The sequence below is a fragment of the Homo sapiens genome, chromosome 4, assembly GCF_000001405.40.
Source record: "Homo sapiens chromosome 4, GRCh38.p14 Primary Assembly".
Taxonomy (NCBI): Eukaryota; Metazoa; Chordata; class Mammalia; order Primates; family Hominidae; genus Homo; species Homo sapiens.
The window spans coordinates 56,038,667-56,057,893 of NC_000004.12; the positions used below are offsets into that span (position 1 = coordinate 56,038,667).

The following is a 19,227-nucleotide window of genomic DNA, read 5'->3' on the forward strand; positions in this document are numbered from 1 at the left end:
CCTTGATAGTCACACATGGCACCACCCAAAGCTGCTCAGCAGAGAGGAGGAGATGCATATGAATTTGTATCCACCAGATTGAAAAAACGCTGTGCTAGTCTGTGTGTCTGTGCATGGACAAGGTGGAGTCCATGTTTGGGGGCTGCCATTGACAGCAATAGGTACAGCAAAATGGTTCAAGAGCAGCCACACCCACGAGTTTGTTTTCATAGCACGTGGACAGGGATGACAGATACGGCAGCAGGTCAGATTGCCAGCCACTGCAGTTTCTTGCCTCAGGCAGACCATATGATTTGTCGCCAGACTGCAATGTAGGATCTAGGGGACAAAGAGAGCATTCATTGCTACTGGTTTGGGCCCTGCTCAAAAAATGCTGATTTGTGGGTTAGCTCATATAAAGGACCAAATAGAATGCCCAAGTGAGACACATACTGTCTCCAACAAAGTCCAATAGGGAGCTCAGCCTCCTTTTTGGTGTTGGGGGCCCAGAGATAAAGGTCTCCCCAATACTGTTACCTGGGTGTCAGAGGCATCATGATTCTGCCTACATTATCCCAAGAAACTTAACTAGGCAAGCAACCCTCTGAATATTGTTGGGGTTTACCAGCCACTTCTGCTGGTGTAGGTATGGCAACACCCCAGCCAGGGGCACTGAGACAGGCTTATTTTATTTTATTTTTTTAAGAGACAGGGTCTTAGCTGGGCACAGTGGCTCACTCCTGTAATCCCAGCACTTTGAAAGGCCAGGGAGGGCAGATCACTTGAGATCAAGGGTTCGAGACCAGCCTGACCAAAATGGTAAAACCCTGTCTCTACTAAAAAATACAAAAATTAGCCAGGCATGGTGGTGTGCGCCTGTGGTCCCAGCTGCTCGGGAGACTGAGGCACAAGAATTGCTTGAACCTAGGAGTGGAGGTTGCAGTGAGCCAAGACTCTGTCATTGCACTCCACTGTGTGCAACAAAGCAATACTCTGTCTCAAAAAAAGAGGGTCTCACTCTGTTGCACACGTTGGAGCCCAATCATAGCTCAGTGCAGCCTCGAACTCCTGAGCTTAAGCAATCCTCCCGCTTCAGCCTCCTGAGTAGCTAAGACTACAGGCTCATACCACCATGCCTGGTTAATTTTTTACATATTTTTATTGAGATGAGGTCTCGTTATGTTGCCCAGGCTGGTCTCAAACTCCTGGCCTCAAGTGATTCTCCCACCTCAGGCTCCCAAAGTGCTGGGATTACAGGTGTGAGCTGCACCTGGCCTGAGACTGAGGCTTCTGACTTGCCAACCAACAGGACATCATCTATATGGAAAAAAATTTAAATCAGAGGGTAGAGGCACTCATGATCACATGCTGGCTACAAATGGCAGGGAGTTTGTCTCACTAGCACATCTCTGCTTTATCTCTTCCCTGCTCGGGAAACCCTCTCTGGCACTTACGGGATGTGAAATATAACACATCAATTCCTACTATATGTTCAGATGTACAAGCAACAACAGTACAATGAATTAATCCAAAAGGTCCTCCCCATAAGGTCACATTAGCTCCCTTACCCCACCTCAAACCCTACCCACATCCCATGAGTTAAATCTGAGTACCACTGGACACGGTAGGATGGCAACTTGGTTGCCTGAATCCAAAAGAGCCAGAGAAATGTGAGTCTCTCCCCTCCTTGAAGTACCTCAGTATATTCATACGGTGTGTATGCCCTCCTTGGGTACAGGGAGACATAGACCCAATCATTTGGTTCCTTAAAGTAGCAGGACTTTCCTAAACTCAGGAATGAGAAGGAGGGAGAGATTTTCTGGCGCAGTGGGAGAAGGTAGCTCCTCCCTGGTAAGCAAAGCTTTGTGTTTACTTTTTTTTTGAGACAAGGTCTCACTCTGTCTCCCAGGCTGGAATGCAGTGAGTGGTGTGATCTTGGCTCACTGCAACCCCAACCTCCCAGGCTCAAGCGATCGTCCCATCTCGGGCTCCCAAGTAGTTGGGGCTACAGATGCATGCTACCACACCCAGCTAATTTGTGTATTATTATTATTATTATTATTATTTGAAGAGATGGGGTTTTGCCCTGTTGCCCAGGATGGTCTCGAATTCCAGGGCTCAAGGGATCCACTCACCTCGGCCTCTCAAAGTGTTTGGATTACAGGTGTGAGCCACCATGTCCAGCTTGTGTTTACTTTTAATTTCAAGTGGCTGGCAATGGTTAATGGTCCAGACTCAACCAAACAAACCCCAAATTTCATATCCTTACTGTTGTCACCATTTATTTCCACTTTGGAAACCCCTTGACACAGCCATATTGTCTTTTGACTGGAGCCACAGGGCTTGCCACCCATTGTCATGATAACATCCCCTCCTTACCCTGTCTGAGGAGGACAGCACCATGAGGCAGCTTGTTTCAATCCTTCCTCTCATTGCTCAACCTCTAAATATTCATTAACAGGTAGGACAGTCGGGGATTCCTATTTCTTCCCCCTCACCCAACGCTTGGGCAATAGCACTCACTACCAGATCCTGCACAATCTTCCCACATCCCCTGACCTTATCCTTTCTCTTCTCAGTAGCAAGTGCTCTGTCAGCAGCCTATCCTTGTTGCCCAAATGGTAAAGAACTATCTGAGATTCTACCCTGCTTGCAAACTAGCAAGGTAGTTTCCTGAATGCACAGTTTCCTGAATGCTAGCAGAAGACACAAGATTTCTGCGTCAGAGACAAAGTTCCTTGCTACTGCACAGCAGGTAGCATGAGTTTTGCACCAGTTCCTCATGTCCCCAGATCCCACAGGGACAATACAAGTCAGCCTAGATGAATGCTGCCCATGTAATGAGTTTACATCACAAGCTAAAGAACTGGAACTTAGGAAAACTCAGCCTTCTTTCTACAAGGGGCTGCAGGCAAACCTGCCCCAACTTTACCCTGGGAGGAGACAGCAAACAAACCTTCTCCCTGCTTGGGGATGACATTATCTCTTTTTCCTAAAACTGTTTGCTGTACAAATATCCTGGAAAAGACAGTCTAGGAAAAACTGCCAGAGCCTTTGCTCAAAAGATATGCAGAAACAAGAGGATTAGCAAAGAAATTTTCCACCCAAAATGTTAAATTTTTTATTTTGGTAAAATATACATGAAATTTACCATTTTAACAATTTTTAAGTGACTATTCTGTGGCATTGAGTACATTCACAATATTATACAACTATCACCACTATCCATTGCCTGAACTATAATATTATTTTTAATGCACTACTGGTTTTTATTTTCTAGTACTTTACTGAGATTTTAAAATCTATGCTCAGAAGTGGGACTGACCTACAGTTTCCCGTTGAGTGCAAGCAGCATGGTCTGGCTTTGATGTCATAGTATCCTGGCTTCCAAGAACAAATGGTAAAACCTTCTCTTCCCATATTCTGGAATTCTTTGCATTACATGGAACTGGCTCATAAAATCACCTGGGTAGGTGTCTTTTTTAGAGGAAACTATCTGACTACCTTTTCAATTTCTTCTACAAATTAGATGTTCTCCCCCTCCTTAAGTCAGCCTGGTAATTAATTTTTTTTTGGAAAATCTTCTATCTTATCTACCTTTTTAAAAGGTCATCCATACCTTAGTTGTCTTTTTCTTGTGAGTTATTTCTTGTATCTCTTGACTGATAGATCAGAAATAAGTCACCTTTCTTCCCTTCCTTTCCTTTTCTTTCTTTCCTTTCTTCGTTCCTTTTCTTCCTTTCTTTTTCTTTCTCTCTTTCTTTCCTTCCCTCCCTCCTTTCCCTCCTTCCTTCCTTCCCTCCCTCCCTCCTTCCTTCCTTCCCTCCCTCCCTCCTTCCTTCCTTTCTTCTTCCATCCCTCCCTCCCTTCCTTCCTTCTCTCCTTTCTTCCCTTTCTCTCTCTCTCTCTCTCTCTCTCTTTCTTTCCCCTCCTCCTCCTCCCTCCCTCCCTTCCTCCCCCTTTCCCTCTTTCTTTCTTTTTTGGTCTTGCTATTGCCCAGACTGGAGTGCAGTGGCTTGATTATAGTTCCTGCAGCCTTGAACTTCGGGGCTCAAGTGATCCTCCCACCTCAGCCTCCCCAGTAGCTGGGACTACAGGTGTGTGCCGCCACACTTGGCTATTTTTTTTTTAATTTTTGGTAGAGACAGGGTCTCACTATGTTGCCCAGACTGGCCTCAAACTCCTGGGCTCAAGCAATCCTCCCTCCTCAACCTCCCAAAGTGTTGGGATTACAGGCATGAGCCACTGCACCTGGCCATGTTTTTTGTTTTGTTTTTTCCTAAGAATCAACTTTTAATTTTGTTGGTAAAATCTACTGTTTGATTTGTTTTCTATTTCATTAACTTCTGCTTTCATTCCTTCCTTACTTCTGCTTTCTTTTTCATTTGTTCACATTCTTGAGTTATATGTTCAGTTTATTTTTAATCTTGTTTTCTAATTTATGCATTAAAGGCTACAAAATTTCCTCTGAGAACCTCTTGGACTGTACTCCCACAGGATTTTTTTGGTCATTAGTTTTTGACATTACTTTCTAAGTAGATTCCAACTTCAGTTCTGGATAATTCTTTATTGGGGTCACCGTGTAACTTATCATCCAAATTGGGACACTTTGGAGAGCAAAATACAGTTTTGCATCACTTACCTACAGGAAACGTGTTGTTCTGAGAAATTTGCCATTAGGAGATTTCATCATGTGTGACCATCACAGAGTGTACTTACACAAACCTAGGTGGTGCCTACTACACACCTAGGGTAGGTATATGGTATAGCCTATTGCTCCTAGGTTACAAACCTATACAGCATATTACTGTACAGAATACTGTAGGCAATTATAATATAATGGTATTTGTGTATCTAAACATAGAAAAGACACAGTAAAAATACAGTATTGTAATCTTATGGGACCACTGTTTTATATACAGTTCTTCATTGGCTAAAATGTCATTTTGCAGTGCATGACAGTATATGTGTTATGTCAGGAAAATAAGTGCTAACTCAGGCTCTCCTAGGTGAACTGGAAAGTATATTCACCCTATTTTTAACAAAAAAAGTTATTTATTTAAAAGGAAGTTTTAAAGTTTTTAAGTAGATAGGATTTTGTTACAAATTTCTAATTTATTGAATTTCGATTAAGGAATGTGGCCTGTATGGATTTTGCTTTTTGAAATTTGTTATGTTTTGGCTTAAAACTTGCTTAACTTTTGTGATCATTCCAAAAACTTTTGTGCAAAATGCATATTTTTTGTTTGTTGGGTATGCACTTCTTATCTTTTCGTTTTGTTTTTTGTTTTTTGTTTTTTTTTTTTTTTGGAGACAGGATCCCGCTTGGTTGCCCAGGCTGAAGTGTGATCATAGCTCACTGCAGCCTCAAACTCCTGGGCTCATGGGATCCTCCCCCCTCAGTCTCTGGAGTAGCTGGGACTACAGAGCTAAAAGATATCAAGTTTGTGAATTCTCTGGATAACTATCTTTGTCTACTTGATAAGTTAATTCCAAGAAAAATTAAAATTCCTCTCATGGTGAGGGCAGAGTTGTTTGCTTTTCCTTTTATTTCAGTTTTTGCCTTAAATATAGTATGTTTCTTGACTTATGATGGGATTATGTCCTGGTACACCCATTGTAAGTTGAAAATATCCCTAAGTTGAAAATGCATTTAATACCTTTAGCCTACTAAACAATATAGCTTAGTGTAGCCTACCTTAAACATCCTCAGAACACTCATATGAGTTGGACAAAATCATCTAACACAAACCCATTTTATAATAAAGTGTTGGCTATCTCATGAAGTTTATTGAATACTATACTGAAAGTGAAAAACAGAATGGTTTCATAGCATCATAAAGTTGAAACAACATAAGCCAAATCATCCTAAGTTGGGAACTATCTGTAGTTTATTAAAGCAAGAATTTTATTAACTTTTTTTTACTATTTAAGGAATTTTAATTAAAGCAATAATTTTATTTTACTGTTCACCGTTTAAGGAATTTTAATTAAAGCAAGAATTTTATTTTTATTCATTTATTCTTCACTCTGTCAGTAATTTAAAAGTTCTGTTGTTAGATACATACATTTCAGGACTGTTACATATTTTTTGTTGGCTTGCACCTTTTAGCACTTATACTTTTTACCCTGAAATCTCTTTTATCAGACACTAATATTGCAACTTATGCTGTCATCTATTTTGTAACAACTTTGTTGAGATATAATTTACATGCCATAAAATTCACCCACTTAAATTACATGATTGGATGACTCAGTATATTTACAGAATTGTGCAGCTGTTATTGCAATTTTAGAACATTTTCATCATCACCAAAAGAAACCCCACACTGGCAGGGCGCAGTGGCACACGCCTGTAGTCCCAGCACTTTGGGAGGCCGAGGCGGGTGGATCACTTGAGACCAGGATTTCAAGACAAGCCTGGGCAACACAGAGAAACCCCATCTCTACAAAAAAATTAAAAAATTAGCTGGGTGTGGTGGCATGTGCCTGCAGTCCCAGATACTTGGAGGCTGAGGTGGGAGGATCACTTGAGCCCAGGAGGCAGAGGTTGTAATGAGCCAAGATGACACAACTGCACTCCAACCTGGATGACAGAGCAAGACTGCATCTCAAAAAAAAAAAAAAAAAGAAACCCTATACCCACCATATCCATTAACAGTCACTCTCCATTTTCCCCCAACTCCTCCTCCCTACAATCATAATCTACTGCTATCTCCATAAATTTGACTGTCTGGACATTGATACAAATGAAATCATATCACATGTGGTCTTTTGAGTCTGGTTTCTTTCACTTAGAATAATGTTTTCAAGGTTCATCCATGTTGCATGCAAGGTTCATACATGTAGCATATATCTATCAGTACTTCATTCCTTTCTATTGCAAAATAATATTCCACTGTATGGATATCCACATTTTGTTTAATACATTCATCAGTTGATGGACATTTGAGTTGTTACCACTTTTGGCCATTCTAAATAATGCTGTTATAAACACTCATGTATACGTTTTTGTGTGGATATGTTTTCATTTCTCTCGGGTATTTTTCTAGGAGTAGAATTGCTGGGTCATTGGTTATTCTACCATCAGAATATATGAAGTTTCCAATTTCTGTATGTCCTCACCAACCCTTGTGATTATCTGTCTTTTTTATTATGGCCACCCTAGGTGTGATTTTGATTTGCAGTTCCCCAATGGTTAATGATGTTAAGCATCTTTTCATTTGCTCATTGGTCATTTGTGTATTTTCATTGGAGAAATGTCCATTCAAATCCTTTGCCCATCATAAAATTGGGTTGTCTTTTTATTATTGAGTGTTATGAGTACTTTATGTATTCTGTATACAAGTCCCTTGTTAGATACATTGTATGATTTGTAAATGTATTGTCCAATTCCTTGCATCATAGTTTCACTCACTTGATGATATCATGTGTAACATAAAAGTTATAAATTTTGATATTGTTTATTTTTCTCTTGCATTGCTTGTGTTTTTGATGTCATATCTTAGAAATCATTGTCTAACCTAAGGACATGATTTATGCCTTTGTTTTCTTCTAAGAGTTTTATAGTTTTAGCTCTTACCTTTAGATCTATGATCCATTTGAGTTAACTATATAGAGAGATAGGGGTCCAAATTGATTATTTTGCATGTAGATTTGCAGTTGTCTCCATGTTTTCTTCTGTTAGTATTTGCCGATTATATTTTTCCATTACTTAATTTTCAGACACAATAATAATGGTAATTTAAAAGATATGGGAACTAGAACAGTTATTCCCATTTTACAAATTTAAGGAAATATCTGAAGTTAATTGAATTATCCAGTGGACTCATGCTGAGGGACAGAAAGTCATGGAAAGGGATGATACACAGACATGGTGGATTATAGAATGGAGAGGCTTTGGAAATCCTTGGTCTAACTCAGCGTTTCTTAACCTTAGCACTATTGTCATTTGGGGCTGGATAATTCTTGGTTGTGGGGGCTGTTCTGAGCATTGTAAGATTCTTAGCAGCATCTCTGGCTTCTACCCAGTAGATGCCCAGTAGCAGCACCTGCCATCCCCAGTGTAGACCACCAAAAATGTGCCCAAGACACTGCCAAATGTCTCCTACAGTGCAAGTATCCCTACAGCTGAAACTACTGGTCTAACTACGAAATTTATTTCCCACATATTTTCTATAACCTCTCACACAGCAGTTAAATGGTTAAGTGTTAAAAAAAATTCTAGATGTTCTGCATCTTTTTTTTTTTTTTTTTTTTTTTTTTTTTGTATTATGGCCTCTGAAAAATGTTTCCACTGGTAGGCAGTTAGCTATCGAAAACGTGGAATAGTAGACTGATACTTGGGGTTAGGGTGCCATGCAATCTTGTTATAGCCCTGGATATAGTTGCTATGAACCAATGTATTTGAAAAGTGAGGGAAAAAAACAGCACCTGTCAAAAGTGGTGCCTGATGGATTCCGATTTCTGAGGCCCATGAGACACTAAGTCTAGTTGTTAGAATGGTCCAATATGAGCATCATTTCTCCAGAACTCCGGCGATATTTTTTGGGTGTATATGAATTGGGGTGCCTTGTCCTACAAAGTGAAAAGATAGTAGACCTACGTTTGACTTATGAACATTTGAATTTTTATATGGACATTTGTTTGTGTTTTCATGTAGTTGGCAAGACTATAATATATATCAAGAACAAGATCTCAGCTATATGTTCTGCATAGATTTGATTTTTGGCTTCTGGGAACTTCTTTTTTTTTTTTTTTTTGAGATGGAGTTTCTCTCTTGTTGTCCAGGCTGGAGTGCAATGGCGCAATCTCAGCTCACTGCAACCTCCGCGTCCCGGGTTCAAGCGATTCTCCTGCCTCAGCTTCCCGAGTAGCTGGGATTACAGGGATGCGCCACTACGCCTGGCTAATTTTTGTATTTTTAGTAGAGACGGGGTTTCGCCAAGTTGGCCAGGCTGTTCTTGAACTCCCGATCTCAGGTGATCCGCCTGCCTCGGCCTCCCAAAGTGCTGGGATTACAGGCATGAGCCACCGCGCCCGGCCGGCTTCTGGGAACTTCTAACGCTACTAAACTCAAATCAAAAGAAATTTGCTCAACCCTTTCTAAAACTCTGCATTATTCTAATTTGGAATAAAGCAGACATAGTTTAGGATATGTGCACACTGAACTAAGTATCTATATTCACGAAAATACAAAGCCATATATTATACTGATATTTAACTTAAATGTTTATCTAGAATAAACCAGTTGGATAAGGTAACATGCACTAGATTCTCCCAGTCTCAAGGTTGCTCCTTTAAGTCATGCAGTGAAATTACTAGTCCTTGGCCAATAAGGTGAAACCTCGTCTCTACTAAAAATAAAAACAAAAATTAGCTGGGTGTGGTGGCGGGCGCCTGTAATCCCAGCTACTCAGAGGGAGACTGTGGCAAGAAAATCGCCTGAACCCGGGAGTTGGAGGTTGCAGTGAGCTGAGATCGCGCCACTGCACTCCAGCCTGGGCAACAAGAAACTCCGTCTCAAAAAAAAAAAAAAAAAAAAAAGAAAAGAAATTACTAGTCCTATTTTTGGCATTTGGGACATCTGGCTCAATACTGGGTATAATTTAGGGCTATCTTTCGTATTTTGCATCTTTTGTCTAGTCATTTTGCTTTAAAATTTCCTGTTTAATAATGATATTCAATTATTTTTAGCATCCTTGCATACATAGTAAACTAAAAAGATCACCAGAAACTGATTTCCAGTAGTTGCACTGGCATAGTCACAACAAAAAGTATGAAGGAAAAGTCTTGTTTTCTTCGTTAGCCCACAAAAGGAGAAGTCATTTTCCTTAAAGCATCAAAATCAATATTTAATTTCATTATGGCTGGGGACAATAATGCACATTGTCAATGTCACTCCGTTCGGATGTACAGGGACTCAGCAATGCAATTTCTAGCCTTTCTATTTCTAGGTGGCATTTTCCAACTTACTCAACTCTCAGGAGTCCCAGTGCCATTTATTGTGGTTGGGACTCTGCAGGGCGAAACTTCTCCTGGGCTCCCGGTATCTCCTATTAGAGAGACTGCTGCGGGTAACAGGGACCGAATTTGCAACCTGTGGGGTGGTGACTGATGGTCCAATGTTCTCGCCACACGCAGGATGAGCCTCGCTGTGAGCCCACCACTGTAACCTCAGACCCCACGAGTTCAGCACTCCCTCGAGTCAGGCTTTGCAGAAGCCGGGAGGGCACTGGTCAACCCCACGCCCCTCCTTGGGGCCCGCTCCTGGTTTCTGGGCACCCCTGGGGAGGGGAGCCATCTGGTGTGCGCCACTCCCGGAGGGCGCGAGAAGGAAGCCGGCGCCTCACGCTCAGCTGTCCCTGGGCGAAGCCGGGCGGGGCGGCGGCGCGGGTCCGAGCGCCCGAGGCGCCGGCGGAGCATGTGACCACGCCGCGCGGGGCCGGGCGCGCAGTGCCGCGCGGTGGCGGCAGTGGGGAGAGCAATGGAGGCCACGGCCGACTGAGAGGCGGGTGCGCTGCTGGTGCTGCTGCCGCGGCGGCTGCTGATGCGGAGGCTGCCGCGCGCAGTGCCGCCGAGTCCGCCGCCCGCCCGGGACCGCCGGTCGCCGGCCAGCCGCTCTGCCAGCCGGAGCGCCAGGCGGGGACCTCAGGTGAGCGCCTGCTCGGCCCGCGGCCGGAGCCAGACAATGGGGACAGGGGCGGGCTTCTCTCCTCCACTCGCGCCCCTCCGGGCCGGGCCCCCGCAGCGCCCCGGGACTCCAGGGGACCTGGCCCCGGGGGCGTGGGCTCGGCGCGGCGGGCGGTGGGCTTCGGGGCGGTGTCCCCATGTGGGAGGCGCGGACCCTCCCGGAGGAACCTGCGCGCGGCTTGCGCGCTTTGGATCCCCGCAGGGGAACCTGCCGCCGGGCTGCACCCCGGGAACTTGCGGAGAATATGGGACCTCGCCTGCCTTCTCCTCTTCCCGCGCCTCGCCATCCTGTCCCCAGGTCCCTGGCTCGGTCCCGACCGCGGCAAGGGCCAGAACCAGACCTCACCGTCCGGGATCGCGGACGCCGTCCGGGCTCAGCCCTCTCCCCACCGCCCCCGGAGCTGCATTGCTTTGTTTAACCTCTGCCAGACCGTTTCGCACAAACTCTTGTTGCCCCAATTCTGATGAGCCACCAGTTTGATAGCTGAGGCAAGACAAAGGTTTCCCCTGTTTACCAAGGGCCGGGGCCAGGAGACTGCGCGCTGCCCGTGGTGTAAAATCTGTTTTCTTTATCTTCGCCCGGGGCTTGTTGCGATGGTTTTCCTGGCACTATAACCGTCCTTTCTTGCAGAGCTCTGTAGTGGCGAGATTGGACCTCCTAACCCTACGGATACGGTGGGTGGGGTATGGCTTTTTTTTTTTCATGATTATCAGTAAACAGAAGCCGACTTTGAATTTTATAATATGTGTTCTTGAGTTAGAGACATCGTAATCATTTTCTGAATTCTGAATTTTAAGAGAATATATATTTCAAGACACATTGATTCAGTGGAGGGGGAGGGGGAAGAAAACCTAGTAAGTACGACCATGTGTTGTGAAATTTTAATATGGTTTTAGGAATAATGGCTGGGAAACTGATCTGGTGTAGGTGAGGGAGTGTGTGTGTGTGTGTGTGTGTGTGTGTGTGTGTGTGTGTGTATTGGGGGTGGTAAGTGGTGGTGGTGGAGAGGGAGTGGTTAGAATACAAAGGATAAGGCAGTTTTAGAAAAAGATTCTTAGTAAATATCCTGTGGCAAATTTTTGATTCATTAAGTTGTGAGTTAAATCAATGTTTCCTTTAAAAATCACCTATAGTAATTGTGGAATTATATAAAAAATGGCTCACAGTTCTTTGGCATTGTTTGTGACTCAGGAATCTGAATAAAACAGTCAGTTTTGAGTAATTTTTAAAAAGTCAACAAAGAGAAGACTCCTTCACTACTGTCTCCTTTATCCTTTGGGAAAAGGGAATCCTTGTTCAGTATATTCAAGAGAAAATTGCCTATATGAAAAAAAATTTCAAAGGCAGCTTTGAAAAAGAAACATTTTGAAAAATATAATATGGTTGCATTACAGATCACTTCAACTCAGAAGTGGGCAGGGAAAAAATCATGTTACTGGATCGCCCTTTCCACTGTTGATTATTTAAAATGCATTGTATTCAAAAGCTTAATTTTACAGTCATCTCTAACACATTGAGAAACTTTCACTCTAAAGACTTAGCAGTACTTACCGACCACTGAATTTGGAGGAGGAAGCTAACACCAACTTGACAATAGGCAATTGGTGTGAGAAACAAAAGCTAGCTCTTGGTAATAGTTCATAGTTCTTCATAAACTACAAAGCACTATAATAAATGTAAGTTATTATTATCGCTAGATGAGGAAGCTGTGTTTTACAGTTTTTCTCTTACCCAATTTCAGACCAATTAATTGGCATTAATTTGAAATTCTCCAGGGAAAGGGACAATCTTTTAGTCTTTTTTTGTGGTCTGTATTTCTGATCTGGCACACAGTAGGTGTTCAGTATGTAGTCATGGAAAGAAAGAATGAATAGGTGAAAAAAATACAAGTGGATAAAACGTGTACAGATGGAATTTGTTTACTTTTTATTCAACGAACATTTACTGAAGGCCTACTGTGTGCCAACAACTGTGTAGAGGTTTTCCACATACAGTTGATGAAAGCTTGGTGACCTCCTTTTTCAGTCATAGTTGATGTGTGTTTCTTCCAAGAATGGGGTCTCTTGGGTGGTTTTTTTCATCATTTTAAATCATCTCCTGTAACTGAGTGGCACAATAGAACATTTCACTTGTTGTATGTGCATATAGTTTCTCACAATGGCCTGTGGGGAGGCAGGGCAGATATTATCATTCCCGTTTTGTAGGTGAGGAAATCCAGACATGGCGAGATTAAATGACTTGCCAGCTCCTTGCCACTAAAGCAACAATGCCAGGGACAGAAGCTGGATCTCACGCCCAGAGCTTTCTCCCCTGAATCACACAACCTTCTCCAAGATACACTGTACCCCCAGAAAATCACGCTGGAATTAGACCCCATGAAAAAGTCTACCTTTTGGATAACTTTTACATAAAGAAAAGGTATATTTTACAACCTAGTACTTAGGGGAGTGGTTAAATACACAAGTTCTCGAGGCAGGTGATTGAATTTGAGCATTGGCTTTACTGGCTACTAGCTCTGCATCCTTGGCAGGTGATTTAATCTAAGCCTCAGTTTCCTCATCTGTAAAATGGGGGAAGTAATCCTATTTAGAACATTTTTGTGAGGATCAAATAAAATAATGTGGGCATAGCACAATGTTTAGTACAAACTAAGCACTCAGTGTCAGCTAATTTTTATTTTCATTATTTTAATGTAAAGCAATGGCTTTTAAACTTTTTAATTTTTTATTTTATTTTTATTTTTTTAAAGAGGTGAGGTCTCACTGTGTTGCCCAGGCTGGTCTCAAGCAATCCTCCTGCCTTGGCCTCCCAAAATACTAGGATTACAGGCATGAACCACTGCGCCCAGCCTAAACTTTTATTTTTGCACAGTAAGAGATGCATTTTACTTTGCCACCCAGTATACAGATACATTGTAAATATCTGTAATTAAAAAATTCATGAAGTAATGCTTAGACTTTGAATGTGCAATGCATTCTTATATTTTTTATTCTATTTTATTTAAAAAATGTTGGTTGAGATCGCTAAATGATTTCACATCCCATTAATGGGTCAGGAACTACGCTTTGAAAAGCACTAATGCTAAGGATAATCAGGTTAAGTGCATTTAAGAAAGCTGTTGTTGAATCTTTATTTCTTTTCTTCAAATGGTTTACAACATCAATTGGAGTTTGAATACTAAATTACATTTAAAAATAAGTTCTTAAACATTTCTTGGGAATTACCATCATTTATTGAATATTTCTCATGGTCACGTTACTGTGTGCTAAGTAGTCTATTTATATATGTTATCTAATTTAGTTCTCACAACAGCCCTGTAAGTAGGCCTTGTGTTTACATTTGATAATTGAAATTAAGACTCAGAGAGCTTTTTATTAACTTGCCCAAGGTCCTAAATTTAGAGAGGGATGAAGCAAAGATTCAAACTGAGTTCTCTCTGATCCCAAAGCCTGTCTGCCCTCTTAACCCCCATGGTTTTCTGATGTTCCCTCATAGTGATTTCTGAAGATGTTTCATTTCTTCCTTAACATAAATTTGAATGTCGATATTGAGAATTTACCCATTGTGGTACATCTTTTGTAGTTTCCTTTGAAATGACTCATTTCAAGTCAGTTTTCAACTTAGGGAAGTTAAGGAAGCATAACGTAATTCTTTCTGGCTTTAGCTGGTCTTTGATGTAAATATTTTGTAAGAGCTTCTCAGGTTTTTGTGATAGAGTCAATTAATTGGTCATTTTTATTGAGCATCCAAAGGTTTAATATATCTTCCTAAGAGACATGAAATAGCTGTGTAACTATAAAAAGACTTCATTACGAATGAATGTCGGCTTTTGTTAAGGCACAAAATGAAGCCTTACAAGCTACAAAAGAGTACTTCATAGTGTATTGATTGGTCTTAAAATCACAAGGTGCTAAAAGTATTTACTTTGTAAAGTACTTTAAGAAACCACCACCAAGTATCCTATTAGCGTTTTTTGTTTTTTGGTTTTTCAGTTCTTTACACGTTTCCTATGTGTATTTGTAGCAGTATTTTAATTTTAATATTTTGATATTTCTAGGACTTCCCTCTTTGAAACACATTGTCAGGAAGAATTAAGGCGTTTTTCAGGAAATATATTTTATAAATAATACTTAGAATACACAAATAGATGCTTTTATATAATAAAGGCAAATTTCACTTTTTTTTTACATTTATATCTTCTACATTAAAACACCTATGGTGTCTGGTTTGCATTATTGCTATTATATGTAGGAGTGTAACTCATAAATAACATGATTACCAGGTGCCTAAAAATGTATAAATATGCCACTGCTCTTGCATTATAGCTTTGGATACTCCTGTGTGCATGAGGCTTTAAACTTTTAACCATATATTTAAACAGTTTATTTGTTGAATTAAGGTTAGTGTTTTCAAAGCTGACAATTTAAAAATCTGAATTTGTGTAGATCATGATGATATGTTAGACAAAGAACAGTAGTTTCATGGTTTATTTATGTGGTTTGAGTAGCCATATATTTCTGTTCATCAGTCTTTTTAAATTAAGATTTGATGTAAACAAATATAGATATAATTGCATTTATTTTTGAACATCAGATTTCATCCTTAGGCTGGCCCTCAAAATATACTTTGCAGCTAATGAAATTGTGTAAAGTTGCAGCAAGCCTGTGTTTTATGCGTATTTATTAATTCTGTCTACTACTTGACCCTTAGTGGATTGTTACAGTTTTTGTGAGCATCAGGACATGGCCCACTTATTGGGTGGTCATTGTAATTTGTATGTTCAGGCAGATACAAAACTTGGCTACCTTTACATTTTGTGTCCTGTTTATTCTTTTATTCATTTATGTTTTTATTTATGTATTTCTAGGGTCTTGCTCTGTCACCCAGGCTGGAGTGCAGTGATGTAACCATGGCTCACTGCAGCCTCTACCTCCTGGGCTCAAGTGATCCTCCTAGCTCAGCCTCCTGAATAGCTGGGACCATAGGCGCATGCCACCACATCTGGTTAATTATTTTTTGTAGAGATGTGGTCTCTCTCTGTTTCCTAGGCTGGTCATGAACTCTTGGGCTCAAGTGATCTACCTGCCTTGCCTCAGCCTCCCAAAGTGCTGGGATTACAAGCGTGAGCCGCCACTCAGTGGCTCCTTTTTATCCTGATGTGAAAATTCATAGAGATAAGAACGAAATCAATTTAGATATTAATTTATTCTGGTGGCTTTAAGGCAGATGCATATGCATATTTTAGGTTTACATAGATGTATGATTTTCACACATATATGAGAAGTACCAGATTATAAACTCTTCTCTAAAGTAAAGAAATACATATTAAGTAACTTTGTGGAAATAAAAAAACTGAGTAACAACCCTGAAGAGATGTTTTTATAGTCACATGTTGTCAGCCTTATAGTCACATGTTATCAGACATATTTAAGAAGCCAAATAGAACAACCATATGTAAAAGCTTTTATATGTGAAAAAGTGATACCATTTAAAATGTCAGAAATGGAAACATAAATATTTCAGTCAGATTTTTAAAGTCTTCACCAGGTCTTTCAGATGTTTCCAGTGTTTTTCAAGTGGCGTACTTAGGGGATTGAGAAGAAATGTCGAAAAACTTGCTTTTGAAACTGGTACTGTATTCAATATGAATTGAGGAAAAGACACAGAAGCTGCATCCCTGAAACACTTTAAAAAATATTTAAATCAGAAGTAAATTTAGCCCACTAGAAACGGTTGTTAGAATAGAGTTTAAGAGCAGGTAGCAGCTGCTAAGAGGAATTAGAAAAAGGAAGGACAAGTTGCTAAAAAGGCATTTTGTTTTTACCAGGGAAGGTAAGAACGATCTTATCTGGAGGCTCACTGGCCTCACCCCACTCACCTGGGGAGGGATTGGCTGGCAAGAAGGAAGATAAGGAGACAGGGAGCGGGAAACAGGTTGTCTGAAAACTTGATTATTATTTAAATCTAGGATAAGCCGGATTCAAGGAATAATCAGCGAAAATTCTTGTATATAATTGTTAACCCCTTGTTAACAATGGGCTGTTTCCTCACTTGGGAGAAATAAAAAGGAGAGGCCATAGTCCCAAGATCACCATTTGTGAAAGAGGAAACATTACTCCAAACCCCATTGCCAATACCATTTATGGTCTCGGGTGGGGGCCACAGCTCATGTTCTTAGGGAAGATTGTGACAGATCCAGCAGGGCTGTTAAGACACTGCTGGTGAATTCCAGGCTGCCCTAAATGATTGCAGTCAGGATTTTTCTTCATTTTGAAAAGTTTTTAATACATTTAGAATGACTTTCTCTCCACCAGAGTGTCACTGTGACAGAGGCAGTGGGCTTTCCTGCTTTATTTACGATGCACCTGGCCATGCAAGTTTGTGATGGGTTAACTGTCTTCTAGAGTTAATGAGGTCAGGGTCACAGGTTCAATTCTTGGGAAGACCAGTTAGCTTTGCTTTGTTCTGTGAGCGCATATTGTACTCTTAACCCAGGCCAGCCATCTGGTGAAGGCAGATCATTGATCACAAAGGCATTAATAAGCAAGACAGTGTGGGAGCAGCAGCATGAATCTTTCTCATGGATGTTGAGTAATTAGAGAAACAATTCCAAAAGCCTGTGCACATTTGTATTATTTTTATAGCATTATCTTAATAGATAGAAGATAACATGGTTATCAAATATTTTTCTTTGCCATTTCTGTTGAACTTTCATCTGAACAGTTGTCTTTTCAAGTTATGATTTTTGAGATGTCTCATTCATTCAGTAGTTATACTTTGTTCTGAGTATTCTTAATCTCCCTGGAGGTTTGTAGGACAGTGACTGTGGCAGTGAGAACAGTCATGCTAAAAGCAGTAGATCAAACCACCTAGTTGTTTACAGATCGAATTCCACTGAGTTTAAAAAGTTTAAAAAAAGCAAAACACCATTTTGAATGAGGGTAAACAGACTAAGAAATTTAGGAAAATGCTTTATACTTCTTCTAAGTAGACCTTGATCTGAAAATCTGTCATTCCCTTTATTAAAATAACTTCTAGTGTTAAGAGAAATATCAGAGATCATCTAGGCCTGTGCTGCCCTATACGGTCCTGCTGGTCCCATGTGGCTAGTCCGAATGGAGATGTGCTATCAATTTAAAATTCATACTAGGGCCAGTGCTATGGCTCACACCTGTAATCCCAGCCTTTGGGAGGCCAAGGCCAGGAATTCCAGACCAGCTGGGCAACATGGCAAAACCCTGTCTCTATAAAAAAAAAACCAAAAAAAAAACAAACAAAAAAAACACCCTCTCCCCGAAAAACCAAAGTTAGCTGGGCGTGGTGGCACATGTCTGTGGTCCCAGTTACTTGGGGCTGAGGTGGGAGGATTGCTTGAGCTAGGGAGGTTGAGGCTACAATGAGCCTGTCTCAAAAATAAAATAAAATAAAATAAAATAAAAAAGTACATACTAGTGCTGGGCCTGGTGGCTCATGCCTATAATCCCAACACTTTAGGAGGCTGAGGCAGGTGGATCCCTTGAGCCCAGGAATTGGAGACCAGCCTGGGCAACAAGGTAAAAGTCCTGTTTCTATTTTCTTCTTTTAAAAAACCAACATACTGGATTTGAAACATTTGGTGTGAAAAGAGAATGCAAAATATGTCATTAATAGTTTTTTAATGTTGATTACACGTTGAAGTAATAGTTTTGACTATGTTGGATTGAATAAAATATTGTTAAAATTAATGTTACCATTTTTTTACTTTTAAAATGTATCTACTAAGAAATTTAAAATTACATATTTGGCTCACATTTGTGGCTTGCATTATGTTTCTGTTGGGCAGTGCTGGTCTAGTCCAACCCTCATTTTACTGATGAGAAGGCTAAGGTTCAGAGGTGAGTAACTGAGCTGAATTCTTTCCATTGCCTGTAGTCTCTCCCTGCTAATAGGTTAGGGGCTCAGGAAGACTGAAACTCTGAACCACAAGAGGACCATTTAGTGCATGGCAATTGTATGTTGCAAGATCTGTGCCTAAGCCATTGCCTGTTAGGTGTTTACTAGTTGTGTGTGTGTATGTGTATATTCACCATGCCAGTTGTGTGTGTACACACATACACCTAGTGGAGGGCTTTGTTTATTTATAATGTAGATGTTTAGGCTTAGTTTTACCTTCCTCTGTAGGTCAGAGGTCCTGCATTAAAATATTAGACATTAACAGTTGTGACAGGGGTAAATAAGATATGGTGCTCATTTAAGTCAGCACTTTCATATGTACTTCCTATTACCAGAGGATTTCAGATAGGTTGGGTTTTTTTTTTTTTTTTTTTGGGAGACGGAGTCTCTGTCATTCAGGCTAGAGTGCAGTGGCACAGTCTCAGCTCACTGCAACCTCTGTCCCCAGGTTCAAGGGAGTCTCCTGCCTCAGCCTCCTGAGTAGCTGGGATTACAGGTGTGCGCCACCACACCTGGCTCATTTTTTGTATTTTTTTTTTTTTTGTTTTTTTTTTTTTTTTTTTTTTGAGACGGAGTCTCGCTCTGTCGCCCAGGCTGGAGTGCAGTGGCGCGATCTCGGCTCA

At 40.9% G+C, this 19,227-nt stretch overlaps 1 protein-coding gene across 5 annotated transcripts in view, besides 4 other annotated features; it reads left to right on the plus strand.

The window, feature by feature from the left end:
• Window positions 10,158-10,797: a silencer, noted in NCBI's record as "silent region_15448". NCBI's record gives its function as "represses an Ori minimal core promoter by ATAC-STARR-seq in GM12878 lymphoblastoid cells {active_cell/tissue: GM12878}" and the evidence as "EXISTENCE:reporter gene assay evidence [ECO:0000049][PMID:35858748]".
• Window positions 10,158-11,003: a biological region, named in NCBI's record as "H3K27ac hESC enhancer GRCh37_chr4:56915160-56915835".
• Window positions 10,328-11,003: an enhancer, noted in NCBI's record as "H3K27ac hESC enhancer chr4:56915160-56915835 (GRCh37/hg19 assembly coordinates)". NCBI's record gives its function as "activates a minimal SCP1, AML or CMV promoter by ChIP-STARR-seq in primed H9 embryonic stem cells {active_cell/tissue: H9 hESC(primed)}" and the evidence as "EXISTENCE:reporter gene assay evidence [ECO:0000049][PMID:30033119]".
• The window catches only part of CRACD (capping protein inhibiting regulator of actin dynamics), a 281,512-nt gene continuing 272,716 nt past the window's right edge, over window positions 10,432-19,227 (plus strand). For 4 of the 5 annotated variants that reach the window (XM_047415994.1, NM_001393381.1, NM_001393384.1 and 1 more), the window contains exon 1: window positions 10,432-10,633. The gene's annotated coding sequence lies outside the window, so the exon portion shown is untranslated. Of the gene's footprint in view, window positions 10,634-10,945; window positions 11,347-19,227 lie in introns of those variants that run through there. The other variant, XM_047415995.1, reaches the window with a different exon arrangement.
• Window positions 14,757-18,961: an enhancer, noted in NCBI's record as "VISTA enhancer hs1651". NCBI's record gives its function as "enhancer in: neural tube[7/7] | hindbrain (rhombencephalon)[7/7] | cranial nerve[7/7]" and the evidence as "EXISTENCE:transgenic organism evidence [ECO:0001131][PMID:17130149]".